At 43.5% G+C, this 19,102-nt stretch overlaps 1 annotated feature.

Annotated features, from left to right (window-relative positions):
- Positions 6,338-6,538: a silencer, noted in NCBI's record as "peak2902 fragment used in MPRA reporter construct". NCBI's record gives its function as "represses an SCP1 promoter by STARR-seq MPRAs in K562 erythroleukemia cells {active_cell/tissue: K562}" and the evidence as "EXISTENCE:reporter gene assay evidence [ECO:0000049][PMID:32103011]".

Genomic DNA, 19,102 nt, shown 5'->3' on the forward strand with positions numbered 1-19,102 from the left:
GGTCAAGATGTTTTGAGAGGTGGGTTGGGATTTAGCAAAATAGGAGGATTCTTAGGATTGTGAGATATAATAATAAGAAGAAGAATAGGAAACGGGTTGGGAGAAGTTTTACTAACAATCTGAGTTGGATACTCTCATATTTTCCAAGAAGTAGTTTTGAGTCCTTTTTTTTTTTTTTTTTTTTTTTTTTTTTTTTGAGATGGAGTCTAGCTCTCTCTCCTGGTCTGGAGCGCAGTGGCACGATCTCGGCTCACTGCAAGCTCTGCCTCCTGGGTTCACGCCATTCTCCTGCCTCAGCCTCCCAAGTAGTTGGGACTACAGGCGCCCGCCAGCACGCCCGGCTAATTTTTTTGTATTTTTTAGCAGAGACGGGGTTTCACCATGTTAGCCAAGATGGTCTCGATCTCCTGACCTCTTGATCCACCCGCCTCAGCCTCCCAAAGTGCTGGGATTACAGGCGTGAGCCACCGTGCCCGGCTTGAGTCCTTTCTAAAAATTATTTTTGGCTCTTTGGTTGTATTTATTTGAAAGTTACTTCTTTTAGCAACTGGACTACATGGAAGGAGGATGTACAATGTTTGCACAGATTAATTTTTTTTTTTTTTTTTTTTACTTTAAGTTCTGGGACACATGTGCAGATCATGCAGGTTTGTTACATAGGTATACACATATCACGGTGGTTTGCTGCACCTATCAACCCATCATCTAGGTTTTAAGCCCTGCATGCCTTAGGTATTTGTCCTAATATTCTCCCTCCCCTTGCCCCGCACCCCACGCAGATTTTTTGAATGCTTAACATGGTTCTAGAAATTTTACATCGATTATCTCATTTTATCCTTAAAACTATGCTGTGAGATAGATAATATCATGTCTGTTTTATAGATGAAGAAGTGAAAGCTTAGAGAGGTTTTGCAAATAACATAAATGTGTATTAGTGAAAAAGTCAAGATTTGAGCCCAGGTTTTCTGACTCCAAGCTCAAGGCTTTTTCCACCCATGCCTCGTCACAGTAGATGATTATGTGTCATTACTCACTGCATGAAGCAGCGTTCTATTCTCATTGCACAATCAATAAATGACATTCTGTTGGCTGTTGTGGTTGTTTTCCCTCAAAAAAGAACATTTGAATGTAAGCCCCTGACTGCCTCATGACATATTCTGCTGAGGATTGAGGGTCAGGATTGCTTCAGCTCTTTCTTCAAACAGAGGTTTGAAAGGCAATAAGAATAAGGATGGGAATGTCAGTGAATGCAAGGAAGGCCTCAAAAGACCAACATAAAGCAAAAGTTGATGGCAATGGTTCTCACAATGTGGTGCAGAGGCCACAAGACACATTAGATAGGGGCTTTCCTATTGGTCTGTGTGAAACTCATGTCTGTGCTTTTGTTTTGGCCACAGAGAATAAAGAATCATATTTAACACAATGTAGATGCCCCTTATTTGGGCTCACTTAGCCACTTATCTTGATGTTTCTTTCTTTCTTAGGTGAGGGTAGTAAGAAGCCATTGGGAATAGTCAGCCTGTGAGTTCTTTCATTCTACCAAAGTCAACTGTGAACAGAAAAGATTTGAGAATCTTAGTGTCTTTGTGTGGTCTCAGTTATTCTATTTGTTCATGATAAATAAGAGTTGGTGGTAAAGATGAAAGGTAATTTCTCTTGAAGTGCGAAAAGCAGAGTATGTTGGTGGAAATGCCCATGACTATTTCTAAACTCGCACACACTGAAAGATGCTGCTCTGAAACCTCACCAGGTGCTGTAGAGGGTCCAGGTAGATATCATCACCCATTTGCAATCTAAATGCAACTGAGCCTCCTTGGGCAAGTCCTAGTACCTGCCTTAATGATTCTGGAAGAATCACAAATTTAAATGAGTCTCTAAAACAAGGGTCCCCAACCCCCAGGCTGTGGACTGGTACCGGTCCATGGCCTGTTAGGGATCAGGCTGCACAACAGAAAGTGAGCTGTGGGGGAGTGAGCATTACCACCTGAGCTCTGCCTCCTGTCAGATTAGCGGTGGTATTAGATTCTCATAGGAGCATGAACCTCATTGTGAACCACACACGCAGGGACATTAGAGTCTCACAGGAGCACAAACCCTATTGTGAACTGAGCATGTGAAGGACCTAGGTTGCCCGCTCCTTATGAGAATCTAATGCCTGATGATCCAAGGTGGAACAGTTTCATCCTGAAACCATCCCTGACTCCTGATCTGTGGAAAAATTGTCTTCTACAAAACCAGTTCTGTCCCTGGTGCCAAAAAGGTTGGGGACTGCTGCTATAAAAGCACAGACAAGTAATGTCAATTGTTACTAAAATTTCTTGTGAATATGGAGAAGGGAAATGCATTGCACATAACTCTTAAACATCTCTGTATCTCTCTAGTTCTCTGTCATATGGCAGCTACCATATCTCTTTCTCTCAAACAACCCCATGTTTCTATCCAGCATTTCTTCCCCATGCCAGTGGGGAAAATCCCCCACCTCCAGAAGATCTGTAAGAAGAATACATTTCTATCTCGTTTATACCACTCTTACTTGGGGCTTTTGTTACATACAGTTTAGCCTAACAAATACTGTGAGGGATGCTGGAAGCAGAGTGACCATTTTAAAACAAGAGTATCGGCTGGGCGCGGTGGCTCACGCCTGTAATCCCAGCACTTTGGGAGGCTGAGGCAGGTGGATCATCTGCGGTCAGGAGTTCCAGACCAGTCTGGCCAAGCTGGTGAAACTCCATATCTACTAAAAATACAAAAAAATTAACCAGGTGTGGTGGTGCATGCCTGTAATCCCAGCTACTAGGGAGACTGAGGCAGGAGAATCACTTGAATCTGGGAGGCAAAGGTTGCAGAGAGCCGAGATTGCACCACTACACTCCAGCCTGGGCAACAAGAGCAAAAATCCATCTCAAAACAAACAAACAAAAAACAAAACAACAACAACAAAAAAAAAGAGGATAACCATCCAGGCAAGCAGTAATGAAGGCCAGAACCAAGGCAACATCAATGGAGTGGAGAAAAAGGATAATCTGAGAAAGATTAAGAAATTCTTTCTTTCTTTCTTTCTTTTATTTTTTATTTTTTTGAGATGGAGTCTCGCTCTGTCACCCAGGCTGGAGTACAGTGGTGCCATCTCAGCTCACTGCAAGCTCTGCCTCCTGGGTTCATGCTATTCTCCTGCCTCAGCCTCCCAAGTAGCTGGGACTACAGGCGCCTGCCACCACACCCAGCTAATTTTTTTTGTATTTTTAGTAGAGATGGGGTTTCACCGTGTTAGCCAGGATGGTCTCTATCTCCTGACCTTGTGATCCGCCCATCTCGGCCTCCCAAAGTGCTGGGATTACAGGCGTGAGCCACCGTGCCTGGCCAAGAAGTTCTTTATACAAAGCCTAAATCTGTGAAAACTCTTTAGAGCCAAGGAGGGATAAAATTCCACCCATGACTGCTTCTGTGTGCATTGCATTAAATTCACAATTTAGCACCATTTAAAAATATAAATCTAATGAGTAAAGAGAAACAAAAATAGGACACACACTCTTCCCCAGATCCAGCTCAGATTTGCTGCAATACAGATATAATTAAATCAGTGTAGTAACTTCACCTATTCAGAAACTGAGGAATCTTTTTGTTTTGGACCAACTGAAGGGAGGGCAAGCTGAAAGCTAACATACAAATTCTAGAATAAAGATGTGTATTTTGAGTCCATAGGTCACCAACTTCGTGTCAACAAAAATGGTGACAATGACAAGTCTTAAGAGATACCTTAATGAAGAAATAACATTCATTTTAAACTGCAGCACCATCATTGCTTACCAACAATTTGCTAAGACTCATAATATTTTAAGCAAGTGGTAAGACATGGTAGCTCACATTTGAAATCCCAGCACTCTGGGAGGCCAAACCAAGAGGATCACTTGAGCCCAGGAGCTCCAGACCAGTCTGAGCAACATAGTGAGACCTCATCTCTACTAAAAATTAAAAAAATAGCCAGGCATGGTGGCACACACCTGTGGTCTCAGCTACTTGGGAGGCTGAGGCAGGAGGATCATGTGAGCCCTGGAGGTTCAAAGCTGCAGTGAGCTGTGATCGCACCACTACACTCCAGCCTGGGTGACGGAGTGAAATCCTGTCTCAAAAAAATAAAAAAAGTGAGCAAGTTAAGCAAGTGTCCTATACTTTTTTCTCACTTAAAGTTTGCATCAAAAGCCGTTTCTTCACACAGAACTAAGTTATAAAAAAAAATGTTCCTTAGGCTGGGCCCGGTGGCTCACGCCTGTAATCCCAGCACTTTGGGAGGCCGAGGCTGGTGGATCACAAGGTCAGGAGATCGAGACCATCCTGGCTAACACAGAGAAACCCCGTCTCTACTAAAAATACAAAAACAAAATTAGCCGGGCGTGGTGGTGGGCGCCTGCAGTCCCAGCTACTTGGGAGGCTGAGGCAAGAGGATGGCGTGAACCTGGGAGGCGGAGCTTGCAGTGAGCCGAGATCGCACCACTGCACTCCAGCCTGGGCAACAGACCGAGACTCCGTCTCAAAACAAAACAAAACAAAACAAAACAAAAAAGTTTCTTTAGATACAGCTTGATCATGAGGGATTTTATAGTATTTTGAATGAATAAACAAGAGATTAATTATTAAGCACAAGTTACTATGCCACGCACTTTTGAAGATGAGAACTGCAAATAACTATTGGCTCATAACAACCGCTCAGTCCATACCCCTGCACTAAGACTTGACCAATCATAGAATGGTTTCTAGCATGGAAGGCAGCATCACTGAGAAAACCCTGCCCCCTTTTGAGTTCCTGTCAGGAAAATCTCAAGGCTGTCAAAAGCATTTACTGTTTGTTCTCATCAACACCTGACAATAGGCCCCTAACTTCCCTTTCCTAGCACATGAAATCAAAGTGGCTTACAATTCTGAGTCCTTTCTCTGTTGCTTTAAAATGTATACGTATCTCCTACAACTCAGGAGTATCTTTCTCAAGGACCTGAAAACTATTCCTTTGAAATATAATCAGGAAGAATAGGGCCTGGGAGTCCCAGTCTCTGCGGGAGGATAGAATCCTGACTTCCATAATTGCCAGCTAGCAGATGCAGCCAGCCTAATCACATTTACCCTGACTAACCCTTGGTCATTTTTCACTTTCCCTGACTCTGCCTGAGCTGCAGTTGCTCACACTTCCTCCTCCCTTATTTTCCCTTTAAAATGCCCAGTTACCTTTGCACAAATCAGAAGGCAGCCCAACTCTTTCCTTACTGTCAGTAGTTGAATAAAATCTGCTTTCACCTCTTTAACTAATATCTAGCTTTGTTTATCTAAGACAAGTCATAAACCAGGTCTATTCATCTAATAATTTTGACATTGGCTTTATCATCCTTATTTTGAAGAGGAGGAAATTGATCCACCAAGAAATTAACTTGCCCAGTGTCACATTTGTAGTTCATTAGTACTTGAGTCACAGAATTACATAATTATTGAACTGCAAGAAACCTTAGGATTCATCTTGTTCAGCCTTTTCATTTTATGGAGGATTCTGAGGATGACAAATTTAAATTTACAACTCTTACCTGTTGTAAGAGTCAGAATTGGACATCTGGGTAGGGTTGCCAGATTTAGCAAATAAAAATATAGGATTCCCTTTAAGTTTGAATTTCAGTTATCAGCAAATAATTTTTTAGTATAATTCTGCCCCATGCAATATTGGTTGTTTATTCATTATTTATCTAGAGTTCAAATTTAACTTGGGGCTGGATGTGGTAGCTGATGCCAGTAATCCCAGCACTTTGGGAGGCTGAGGCAGGAGGACTGCTTGAGCCCAGGAGTTCAGGACCAGCCTGGAAAACATGGCAAGACCTCGTCGTTACAAAAACAGAAGGGAAGGGAGGGGAGGGCAGGGGGAGGGGGAGGGGGAGGGGAGGGGAAGGGCAGGAGAGGGGAAGGGCAGGGGAGGGGAAGGGGAGGGGAGGGGAAGGGGAGGGGAGGGAAGGGGAAGGGGAGTGGAGGGGGAGCGGGGAGGGAGAAGGGAAGGGAAGGGAAGGGAAGGGAAGGGAAGGGAAGGGAAGGGAAGGGAAGGGAAGGGAAGGGAAGGGAAGGGAAGGGAATTAGCCAGGCATGGTGGCCCAGGCCTGTAGTCCCAGCTACTTGGGAAGCTGAGGCAGGAGGAGCACTTGAGCCCAGGAGGTTGAGGCTGCAGTGAGCTGTGTTCATGCTACTGCATTCCAGCCTAGACAACAGAGCAAAGAAAAAAAAAAAGAAAAAAGAAAAAAATATATATATATAAAAGAAAATATATATATATACACACATATATACTCAGCATTCTGTATTTTATCTGGCAATCCTACCCCAGGGCTTTTAACTTGCCGGGGTCCTTCCCATTCCATAATCTAACAAAGCAAGCTTCAAATATCTTATCATTTATTTGTGGGAAATTGTGGTCATGTCTGCAAGAGTTACAAGACAGGAAGACTATGATTTAGTGATATTGTGGTTTTGATGAGACATAAGACCTTTCTGAAGTTGGGGACAACCCAATATAAGTAATATTTATGAAGGCAGCATAGTTCATTTACAAACTGTCAAAAGACAAAATTACAACAAATTTAAAGATCTTAATTGGCTTTTGTTTGCCATTCTAGAGTTGGGCAACACCTCATTCCATAAAATTGAATGAGTGTTCCTATGAGCTGAGCAGGGGAGGTTAGCTTCTCGGCAAGGGCTGAGGAAAGCCCCAACAGAGAACAAAGAGTAGATTGGTGTTCAAAGTTGCTTTTCTTGTAAAGGTTAAGGCAGAGCAGGCTTCCTAAAACTCGCCTGTTTGGGGAGATGGCTATTATCTCTTGATTTCTTGGTAGGTCAGATAAACAACTCAGTTCCGACATGGTAGCACAGAACATTAGCACGAGTGACTCCATTTTGGTTTGGCCTGGTGGATCTAGTGCAGGGGGAGCTCAGTCCAAACCAATGGCCTCCTGTGAATTTTATTCAGCAAAATAAATCTACAACAAAACTCAATTAAATGTAACATCTCTGTGTCCTGTAAATTTAACTGTATCAGAGAATCACACTGTCTGGGCACTCAAGCTAATAACTATCTGTCCCATCTCTTTGTTGCCAAGTAAGCTTCTCCCCAAAACAAACAAGAGACTCGCTGGCAGGAATCACAGTCCTTGTTGTTGGGGGTGGGAGGTCATCTAGGTCCAAGTGGGCAGAAAAGGTAAAGTCTGGTGAAGCACAAAGACACAGGAAGACTGTGAGCCAAGACTATGGAGAACAGCCCAGGAGAATGTTTCTGTTGATGAGTAAACAGAGGCTTGGACAAGGTAGATCTGTCTTACTGATAAAGGGACTGGTGCTTCCAGAGTTGACTCATTAGTGAGAACAAAGGAATGCGGGTATTTTCTGGCAATACCTGTAACTTTGTAAACAGAGATGTGAGAGAGGGCAATGCCAGCGTGATAGGTAGCATTACTTTTTTCTTTACTGACTGGCTTACCACCACCGATAACAGTCACGGTTTACACACAAGCCCGAAGGAATGCTAAGCTTAAAAAAAAAAAAAGTTCCACGTTTGCATGGCCTTTCCACTGAGCCTCAGTCACAACTTTTGGCTGGAGGCAGATGGCAGGTCTAATGTTTTGTTATTGGTTCTTCCCTCCCCTGACACTCATTTTATAAATGAAGCTGCTGAAGTCCAAACACATTAAGGACCAGTTCAAAGTTTCTCCGTTTTAATAACTTGGCAGTGCTAGAGCTCCAATAAGGTCTTCTCACTCATGATCTGCAAAGTGGGAGCTGGCCTGACTTGAGGACTGAGCAATGAGTGTGACTTCTGAGTCCACACTGAACATGGAGACACAGGCTTTTAACAATATACACCAGGTTCTTTTTATGCTCCACTTATTTAGCTAGTGCAAAGGTCAGTTTATCATAAGCAGTGAGGGTTACAAAATCCTAAGGCAGGAAATGTGATGTTGCCAAGCCGCAGGAATTTTATAGCTATGGGGAAATGGGGTTGTCCTGTGTCTTTCTGTGGCTGCCTCATGGCTGTGTAATCTTTCATGTATGTTTCTCCCTTTGCTCCTACCCCATAGTTGTTTTTACGTCTGTAGACTGACTTCCTTTGCTTACTCCTTGGCTTGTCAGTGCCCCATCTTTGAGTCCTTGAGACATTTCACCTTGACTTGCCCTGCCCCGGGGAAACATGTTTTAGTATAGTGGTTAAGAGCATAGACTCTGGAGATAGGTTGCTGGAGTTTGACTATCGATTTAAAACTTCACTTCTCTGTTTTCCACTTTTCTCACCTGTAAAATGGGGGAGGCCGGGCACAGTGGCTCACACCTGTAATCTCAACACTTTGGGAGGCTGAGGCAGGCGGATCACTTGAGGTCAGGAGTTCAAGACCAGCCTGGCCAAAATGGTGAAACCCTGTCTCTACTGAAAATACAAAAACTAACCAGGTGTGGTGGTGCCCGTCTGTAGCTCCTGCTACACGGGAGTCTGAGGCAGGAGAATCGCTTGAACCTGGGAGGCAAAGGTTGCAGTGAGCCAAGATGGTGCCACTGCACTCCAACCTGGGCAACAGAACAAGAATCCGTCTCAAAAAATAAGAATAAAAAATAAAATAAAATGGGGGTAATAACAGCCTCATCTTCACAGTAGTGTGAGGAGTAAAGATATTGTCCTTAAGTACATTGAGCACGTACTATGTGCCACACAGTGACTGGCACATAGTATACACTCAATAAATACAGTTGTTCTTGTTGTTGTTAGTATTGCAACAATTTTAGAGTTTATAGCTCCTACTTGAGTATTTTTAAGTCCTAACTTGAAATCTTAGTGGAGAGAGACAGTGGCTGAGCTCATCTTGTCTCATGAGGCTGTAGGGTAGGTAGGCTTTGACTCAAGATGGAGTGGGGACTGCAGTGGAACAAAGACAGATGATTCATTCACCACTTCATCGGGGGTTGTGGGTAGGAGGCAGATCTTCTAGAAGAGGGGGTGGCTAGCATCTAAAATATGCCTAATACTCAGTATGTGCTAGAATTTGTTCTCAGACATTCAATATCTAATTTTAATAAGTGCTCAAAGCCCCTGGGTTATAGCATCTGCTCTTTCTTGCCCCACTTAAGCTGGATAGGGAACTCTTCCCAATCTTCATTCCAATTAAGTGCTTTCTTACATCCCAGAGAGTCCCATAACCAGCCCACATTTATCAAATGCCTATAGTGTATAAGGCAGCATGGCCTGCACTGTGCATATTGTGGGGGCAGTGACGGTGGGAGCCAGTCACAGGAGGAGAAATAGAGATGAATAAGAAACAAATTCTCTTTCAAGGCACTTAAAATCTGGAGGAATTTACAAAATAACTCTATACCAAGGAAGTGTATGAAAAGTATGGTAATGAAAGTATCAAGTATATAAAGTGTTAAGGTATCACAGAGAGGGATAGACATATTTTATCTACTGGGGTTTTAAAGAAAGTCTTCATAGAGAAAGTCACTTGGCTTGGATGGTAAAGGATGAGAAGATACCAACCAGCAAAGACGAGTGAAAAATATATTGCATACAGACTGGGTGAATACTATGAGTAAGCTTTCAGAGATGGGGACATATCATGCCCACTGGGACCACAGCAGATGGTCTGATTTTGTTCAAGTGTAGGTTATTGACTTAATGGGGAAGAGTGTATTATGTGTGTTGAAACATTGGCATTGTCATGAAGGATTCTGATACCAAGCTAAAGAGTTGGCGTCTAATTTTCTAAACAAGGAGAACCTATGAAAGGAGGAAGGGTGGGTTGCGATGTCTCCCGCCTGTAATCCCAGCACTTTGGGAGGCCAAGGCGAGCAGATCATGAGGTCAGGAGATCGAGACCATCCTGGCTAACACAGTGAAACCCCATCTCTACTAAAAATACAAAAAAAATTACCCGGGCATGGTGGCGGGCACCCGTAGTCCCAGCTACTCAGGAGGCTGAGGCAGGAGAATGGCATGAACCAGGGAGGTGGAGCTTGCAGTGAGCCGAGATTGCGCCACTGCACTCCAGCCTGGGCAACAGAGCGAGACTCTCTCTCAAAAAAAAAAAAAAAAAAAAGGAGGTAATAAAATACCCACTGTTTAATTTTGTTTTGGTTTTATGTTCTTATTTTGTTGGCTGCATGGGCTGAAAAAGTATGTCCATCTAAGTGTATCTTTCTTCCAGCTCCTGGAAGGTAGCAATTATGTAAGTAAGGTGGCTGGAATACTTACCTACCTTATACCTGCCAGGTGCTATTCTAAGCACTCGATGTGTATTATGTCTTCACGGTAACCCTCTGATACATTATTATTCTCATTTTACCAGTGATGAGGCTGGCACTGAGCAGAAAGTAACCTGGTTAAGGTAACCACCTGGAACATAGTAAAACTGGTATCTGGCCCCAGGCATACTGTTATGTCATACTGTTTCCCACTAGTTATGAAATCCCTTTGCAACAACACCTTATCTATCTCAACCAGCAATTCTGGACTGTAAGTAGGGAAAAGAATGTATTGCAAGCTATGCACAAGGTAATGATTTTATAGTCATAATGATTCAAGATGGAGGAGGCCTAGATAATGACGGCCTAATTATCTATAGCATTTTTTCTGGACCTGAGAGATCCAAAACTCAGCCTTTATTCAGACTAAGGATCTAGGAGAAAATCCCTGCCTCAATCAAAGAACAGAGAGTAATTCTCTGAGGGCCTTCAAGCGCTGAATAATTTATGTAGTGATTCATTCCCTTCTTGTGTGAAGCTTTTAGTTTCAAGCCTAAAGAAGATCCAGACACACAGGTGTTTTCCTAGAATCACAGAATATCAGAGTTGGAAGGACTTTAACTGTTCAAGTCAACATCCCCATTCCACATTCAACTCTTAGATCTCCATTCAATTCTTAGATCTCCCAATACCACATTGACATCTGTCTCAACAGTTCTCAGCCCATTTTTCCATTCCCCCACACTCAATGGATAACATTCACATATGAAATACATTACCTCTGCTGATGAGATCAGATAGTTTGTGGGTTCTGTACAATTCCTGGCAGCTAAGCTTGCACCACACCTTTTATTTTCTGCTCAAAGTGAATCAATAATGCAAGTAATTAAGAGGGATGCTATTACAGGCTCAGCCTTGATTGTATTCTAGAGTGCATTTTAAAAGTTAAGAATTTGCATAGTTCGGTATCATTATTAGCCAAAATTACTAGTAACACCCCACTCAGCTATTATTGGTACATAGGTTTTCCGGATGAAAAGTGCTGATCTAACCTATGGTTGAGATCCAGCCACTGGAAGTTCCCCATTTCCGAGGGAAGCCCGTGGCAACTCAGGACAGTTTTTACTGTCAGCAAATTCTTCCTTTTATTCAGCAGAAAAATGTTTCTAACTGCAGCTGGCCGACAACAGCACTGGGAAATCCATTTGTCTCCTGCTCTGCATCTTCCCCTAGTGTTCACAGAAACTGTTCTAAATTTTCACAATTCTCTTCAAGTCTTTGACTCCACTTTCATTTCCCATGCTCAGCAGGTGACCTCCCCTGGGACATGCTAAGTGCTCAGAAAGTGTTTGCTTGGCTGAATATCTCTTCCTCTACAAAACAGTTGACATGAATGCCCCAGCTTCTAGCCCCTAACAAAATCTTGTGTTGCTTTTCTTGCCTCAATCTCAGAGGAAGGGGCTGCTCCCTTCTATACAGCTTATTCATCCACTTGGGCTTTAAATCTAATCCTGTTTGGCTAATTCAGAGACCTGCTTACTTTCTACCCAAGTGCCATTTCCTTTCCTCAAAGGATAACTTCATTCTGAGCAAGTGTTCCATTTTATAAATCTGAGCAGTGAATTTAAGTCTTATCAAAGAAACCCTTAAATCTTTCATTCACATGCTGGGCTATATTCTTAATTTCACTTGCATATCAGGATTACCTAGGGAGCTTTCAAAAATCCTGATGCTCCAGAGAAATGCAAATCAAAACCACAATGAGATAAGATCTCATGCCAGTTAGAATGGCGATCATTAAAAAGTCAGGAAACAACAGATGCTGGAGAGGATGTGGAGAAATAGGAATGCTTTACACTGTTGGTGGGAGTGTAAATTAGTTCAACCATTGTGGAAGACAGTGTGGCGACTCCTCAAGGATCTAGAACCAGAAATACCATTTGACCCAGCCATCCCATTACTGGGTATATACCCAAAGGATTATAAATCATGCTACTACAAAGACACATGCACATGTATGTTTATTGTGGCACTATTCACAATAGCAAAGACTTGGAACCAACTCAAATGTCCATCGATGATAGGCTGGATTAAGAAAGTGTGGCACATGTACACCATGGAATACTATGCAGTCATGAAAAAGAATGAGTTCATGTCCTTTGCAGGGACATGGATGAAGCTGGAAATCATCATTCTCAGCAAACTATCGCAAGGACAGAAAATCAAACAGCACATGTTCTCACTTATAGGTGGAAATTGAACAATGAGAACACTTGGACACAGGGCGGGGAACATCACACATCAGGGCCTGTCGGGGGGTGGGGGGCTGGGGGAAGGATAGCGTTAGGAGAAATACCTAATGTAAATGATGAGTCGATGGGTGCAGCAAACCAACATGGCACGTGTATACCTATGTAACAAACCTGTACATTGTGCACATGTACCCTAGAACTTAAGGTATAATAATAAAAAAAAATCCTGATGCTCAGGCCACACCACAAAATAAAGAAATCATAATGGGCTGGGTGTGGTGGCTCATGCCTGTAATCCCAGCACTTTGGGAGGCTGAGGTGGGCGGATCATGAGGTAGGAGTTCAAGACGATCCTGGCTAACACAGTGAAAACCCGTCTCTATTAAAATTTCAAAAAATTAGCCAGGCATGGTGGTGGGTGCCTGTAGTCCCAGCTACTTGGGAGGCTGAGGCAGGAGAATGGCATGAACCCGGGAGGCGGAGCTTGCAGTAAGCTGAGATCGCGCCACTGCACTCCAGCCTGGGTGACAGAGCAAGACTGCGTCTCAAAAAAAAAAAAAAAAAAAGAGAAATCATAATGGAGTGTGGCAGGGAAGGAGTGAAAACCAGGCATTGCCATTTTTAAAGCTCTTCCGGTGATTCTAGGGTGCATTCAAGATTGAGAACTACTAGTTTTAATTCAAGCCTTGCTGTTCAAAGTATGGTCCTTGGATCATCATCATTACTATCATGTGAGTACTTGTTAAAAATGTAGAATCTCAGACTCCATCTATTGAATCAAAATCTACATTGTAACATGATACCTTAGTGATTCCTATGCATATTAATGTCTGAAAAGCAGTAGTCTAGACCAGACTCTAGAGCAGGAGGCAGCAAACTAAAATCCACAGGCCAAATCCAGCTCTCTATTTGCTTTTGCAAATAAAGTTTTATTGAACGCAGCCACATCCATTCCTTTACAAATTGTCTACGGCTGCTTTTCCACTACAATGGCAGAGCTGAGTAGTTGTAACAGAGACGTTATAGCTGACAGAGCCTAAAATATTTATGAAGAGGGGCAGAATATGCTACCCGAAAACATGCCACTTTGACATGAGACTTCTAGCTGAAGGCACTTGAAAAACAAAAGATACAAGAAGTGCTTTGTAATCTTCCCCCTTTCTTTCAGAAAACAGGAGATAAAGATTCCCATGTGAAAGATGCCCTCCCTGTACCAGGAGAAAAAGACAATTCTTTGGTGGAGAGTCATAGCTGAGAGAATTCTTTGCAAACAGACCTTGTTAAGCTAATTATCTTCCTTTAGCCTCCACCACATAATTTAGTTACTTTTCCACAATTGCCTTTCTCTATTCAAACGAATAAGACCCTCCTATTTTCTTTCTTTTTTTTTTTTTTTTTTTTTTGAGACAGAGCAGAGTCTCGCTCTGTCGCCCAGGCTGGAGTGCAGTGGCTGGATCTCCACTCACTGCAAGATCTGCCTCCCGGGGGTTCACGCCATTCTCCTGCCTCAGCCTCCCGAGTAGCTGGGACTACAGGCACCCGCCACCATGCCCGGCTAATTTTTTGTATTTTTAGTAGAGAAGGGGTTTCACCGTGTTAGCCAGGATGGTCTCGATTTCCTGACCTCATGATCCGCCCACCTCAGCCTCCCAAAGTGCTGGGATTACAGGCATGAGCCACCGTGCCCAGCCAAGACCCTCCTATTTTCTTAGGAAGGCTCCTGTGTCAACCAAAACTTGTATTAAACGTGTATGTTGTTCTTCTGTTAATCTATTTCATGTCATTTTCATTTGCAGACTCAGCCAGGGATCCTAAAAAGGTAGAAATAAAGTTTTGCCTTCCTAAATATACTATCTGGTCTTTTACAGAAAAAGTTTGCTGTCCACTGCTCTAGAGAATGGAATGGCTAGATCCAGCCAGAAAAGCATCTCTGGGCTTTCCTTAGCTCATGGGCAGAAGGGAGGACAAGATGTATCTGCCCTTTTGCTGGTGGTGTCCCTTAAGAAGCAGGTTCTTCTGGCGCACAATCCTTTTATAACCATTGCTAGGGTCATCGTGCCAAAGTAAGCCTGCTGTTTTTGAGTTTCTAATAGAATTAATTCTGGATATAATCTCTGAGGAACAGACGGGCTGGCACAAGTCCACCCTCAGAATCATGCTCAGACACAAGCAGACACCTTATGTCATTTAAATGATGTTGCAGAATCACTTGACTAATGCAATATTGTGATGTCTGTACTGGAAAAACAGGATGGCATGATTCAGGAAGATGAGCTCTAGTGCCTGGCAACCAGCTTATCTCCTCCACTCTTACTTTCCCTCAAAAATAAGGTTTCTTTCTTTTCTCTCCTTATATTTCAGCTTGATTGCATGTTTTGTTTTGTTTTGTTTTGTTTTGTTTTGTTTTGTTTTGTGATGGAGTCTCAATCTGTCCCCCAGGCTGGGGTGCAGTGGTGTGATCTCAGCTCACTGCAACTTCTGCCTCCCAGGATCAAGCGATTCTCCTGCCTCAGACTCCAGAGTAGCTGGGATTACAGGTGCCTGCCAATATGCCTGGCTAATTTTTGTATTTTTAGTAGAGACAGGGTTTCACCATGTTGGCCAGGCTGGTCTCAAACTCCTGACCTCAAGTGATCTGCCTGTCTCAGCCTTCCAAAGTGCTGGGATTACAGGCATGAGCCATCGTGCCCGGCCTTGATTGCATTTTTTAAAAAATGTGTGTCTATCACATTAATTAACCACACAGTCCCAGTCAGAAAGTTAGAACTTACTGTTTTCCCAGTAAATGGGAACATGAAGCCAGCCTGCTTTGTGTGTCACACTTTTGCAAGAAAACCGGCTCAGCCTAGGTTCTGATCTTTCCTCTGTAATCACAGAGCAGAGAGAAGCCAACCAGCTCATGGCATTTTAATCTGTGCTTTTGCCCCAGTGGACACCACATAGCAATACTTCTCAAACTCAAATGTACTGGAAATCACCGGAGGATCTTGTTACTTGTCTTGTTACTGACAGGTTCTATTCAGTAGTTTGGGGACTGAGCCTGATATTTGGCATTTCTAGCATGGTCCCAGGTGATACTGATGATCCTAGCACCAAGGCTTGAATAGCAACGGTCTAGGGCAGAAGGTAGCAAAGCATGGCCTATGGCCAAAGCCAGCCAGCTGCCTTTTCTGTAAATAAAATTTTGTCAGAACACAGTCACTCCCATTCATCTAACGTATTGTCTGTGGCTGCTTTCATGCCACAACCACAGAGTTGAATAGTTATGACAGAGACTACATGGCCTGCCAATCTTATACTATGTACTATCTGATCCTTTACAGAAGAAGTTTGCAGCATTGATTCTCCAGGGTGGTCCAAAGATAGCCTGCATCAACATCATTTGGAGATTTTGTTACCAATGTTTATTTCCAGTATTATTGGAGACCTACTCCTGAGACAGTCTCTGCAAGGGGCTGGGAAGCCCTACAATTTTCAAGCTTCTCGGATGATGCTGATGAGCCACACTTTGAGGAATAAAGCTGTACTCTGTTTCACTGAGGGAACCGATCACTGATGGAGAGGATGTTTTCCTGGTATTCTAGTATGTAATGCATTTCTTTCCTTTTTTTTTTTTTTTGAGACAGTCTTGCTCTGTCACGCAGGCTGGAGTGCAGTTGGTGTGATCATAGCTCACTGCAGCCTCGAACTCCTGGGTTCAAGCGGTGATGCAGTTCTTTTTTTAATTTTAATTTAATTTTTTTTAAAGCTGCTCCTTGCAGAGCAGGGCTACCCCACAGGCAGTGTGCCCAGAGTAGCTGTGGTGATACATTTCTCTATATGGAACGCATACATGCTTACATGCATAAACCTGGGTCTCTCTGAGGCCCTTTGAGCCTTGCACACCTTTCTTTCCTGCCATTCAAAGTCTGAATGGAACGTGGGCTATTAGAATCAATGTGGTATCAGCTGGGTCTCCAGGAAATGTATTTGCAGTAAGTTTATCCGGGAGTGCTCTTGGATTAACGCCTGTAGAGGGGAACAGAAGAGCAAGAAAGGAGAAAGAAAGAGAAAGGGTATAGGACTGGGAGAAGAAGATAGGCTGCAATCGTCTCAAGAGAGACTTTAGCCAATGCCATGGGAAGCTCTGAAGCTGGCATAACTCTCAGACTTGTCCCCAAATAGGGTGAGGGAGCCAGACCTTTGTAACCGCTGCCTCTTCCACAGCTGCCCTAAAGATAGGACTTGCCTTTGGCCCGGATTGGCTCTCTTTAGCCAAGACAATTCCTGAAGAGGACTGAGAGCTGAGGGCTGTCTTCCCATGCAGCATTCCCAGCAGCTTGGGAAACAAATCCTTCCTTTATTCCAGCAGCGTGATCTGGGAAGTGCCTTACAACCTCCACTCCATAAGGTGTCACTTTTGTTAATACTAAGTTACCATTTATCAGATGCCAAGCAATAAGCTTGCTTATTTCATCCTCACAGTAGCCTTATGAGGTTGGAGTTATTAGCTTAATTCTGAAGATGACAAAACAGAGACTCAGGGAGGTTAAGACGATTTCCTAAGGCCCCACAGCAAGCAAGGGATCAAGCGGTGATTCCAACCTTGGTTTTCTGACTTCAAAGGTTTTCTGATTTTCCATTACACCAGCATTTCCCAATGTGTATTCCTCAGAACAGATGTTAATAGGTGTTACATAAAAGAGAGAACAAAGACTGTCAAAAGGCTTTTGGAAATCTTGCGTTAAACATAAACAAGTTGTCTTACAGTAGTTCTTCTCAGAACCCTTAACATGCTAACACACAGCGTGACTCTGCAAGAGAGATATTAATGTGCATTACTTCCCAACCTCATTTAAAACAGAATTGCTTTGTTGCAGCTGATGATGCATTGGGACATGATGCATGGCCCTGATCAGTCTCCTTCTGAAGGCTCTTTCCATGGGAAAATTGAAGATGGGATAATTCTCCTTTAAAATGTGCAGTCCTTAAGGAGTCTGACAACTCCTTGACGCTCCTCCACTTTCTCTCTTGCCAGGAAGGAAACTTTCACAGGGCTTTCTTACATAAGGAATGGAATGTAGAGTTTACACTTTGTTGCCTTTGGTCCTGATTTAGAAATAACCAGTGCAGGATGTCCTGGTTGGAGGATGGGGATAGAGAAGCGGGTTAGCCTCTGAGCAAGCCTTGCACTATCATGCTGGTATAAGGAGGCCTTTCCACATCCCCATCCAAGCTTTGCCATGGCCAGGTCCCCATTTCCCATAGCTGATGTTCTGGATGGGGGTTGTCAGGGACTCCCTCTGCACCAGAGGCTCTGGTTTTAGTGCTACATCTTGAAGTTGACATGTATACTGTATATAATTTAAAAACTTACAATGACAACAAACAATACTGGCAACTTTAAATCCCCTCTAAAGAAGGTTGGAGATGCCTCCATTGGGAATATTTTTTAGTGTTTTATTTTAGGTTAGTTTGTCTGTAAAATAAAGATGAAAAATCAATCACAATGCAAAGTTACTTTTGCTAAAAACCTTTTCTTTAGCGAGAAAATGCTGAGGACGGGCAGAGGGTGGGCAGGCAGATGGGAGTACAGCCTTCTGCTCTGCGGCTGGGCTTATTACCCAGGTCTGCGGGTCGCCTGCACCGCAATTTGCCTCCAGGCAAACTTCCACCTGAAATGTAGGGTAATCGAGGCCTGCCCGGAACTTGTGGAAATCAAACCAAGGGCTCAGTTTCAACAATTCTGGTAGAGGATTAGAATCCATGTCAACTCTGTTACCAGAAGGATGGCCTTGAGTGTACGATGTCCAGGTTCTTGGCGTTTTGAACAAAGAACTGGACAAAATGCAAAGCAAAGTAACGAAGATGACACAGGAACAAAGAGGCAAAAACAGGAATTTATTAAAGCGAGAAAGCACTCCACAGGGTGGGGGTGGGCCGGAGCAAGCGGCTCAAGGGCCTGGTTACAAAGTTTTCTGGGTTTTAAGTGTGCCTTTTGAGGTTCTTATCCATTACCCCTTATCTGGATGAAGGATTTGGTCCGTGGCTAATTAAAGGCTGAGGTGAATTGGTTCTCTGTGCAGATGAAGGGATTGTCCCTGCTTGGCCTGAGGCCAATCCAAGGCACTCTCCCTTTACGTCTGAGACGTGGTGGAAGAAGGAGGGTTGTAGGGAGAGTAACCTTTGACCCTTTGCTACTGGGGCTTGGGGAGATGGGGTTTTACCTTTTGGTTTAGCTTTATGAAGTTTGCATTAATTAGCCTTAGGGTCCCTGCCCCCAGACCCAGGTGTTTTCCTTTTGATCCACCTTTGGGAAGTCAGCATGGATTGACCTTAGACTCCCTGCCCCCAGACCTTTGTGTTTTCTCTTTTAGAAAGTCAGCACAAATTGGCCTCAGATTCCCTGCCCCCAAACCTTGGTGTTTTTCCTTCATTCAACACGAATTGGCCTTAAGTTCTCCATCTCCAGACCCTATTCTCCTGCCTCTTAACCACGGAAAGGTGCTGGCCTGGTCACTTGCTAATCTTAGGATGGAAAGACTCTTTGTTGGGTATGATTTTGGAGACTGAACAGATTTAAGCAGAATTCTTGTGCACCCCCCTCACCAATCTCACTTCTGCTAACA

The sequence above is a fragment of the Homo sapiens genome, chromosome 17 (genome assembly GCF_000001405.40).
Source record: "Homo sapiens chromosome 17, GRCh38.p14 Primary Assembly".
NCBI lineage: Eukaryota > Metazoa > Chordata > Mammalia > Primates > Hominidae > Homo > Homo sapiens.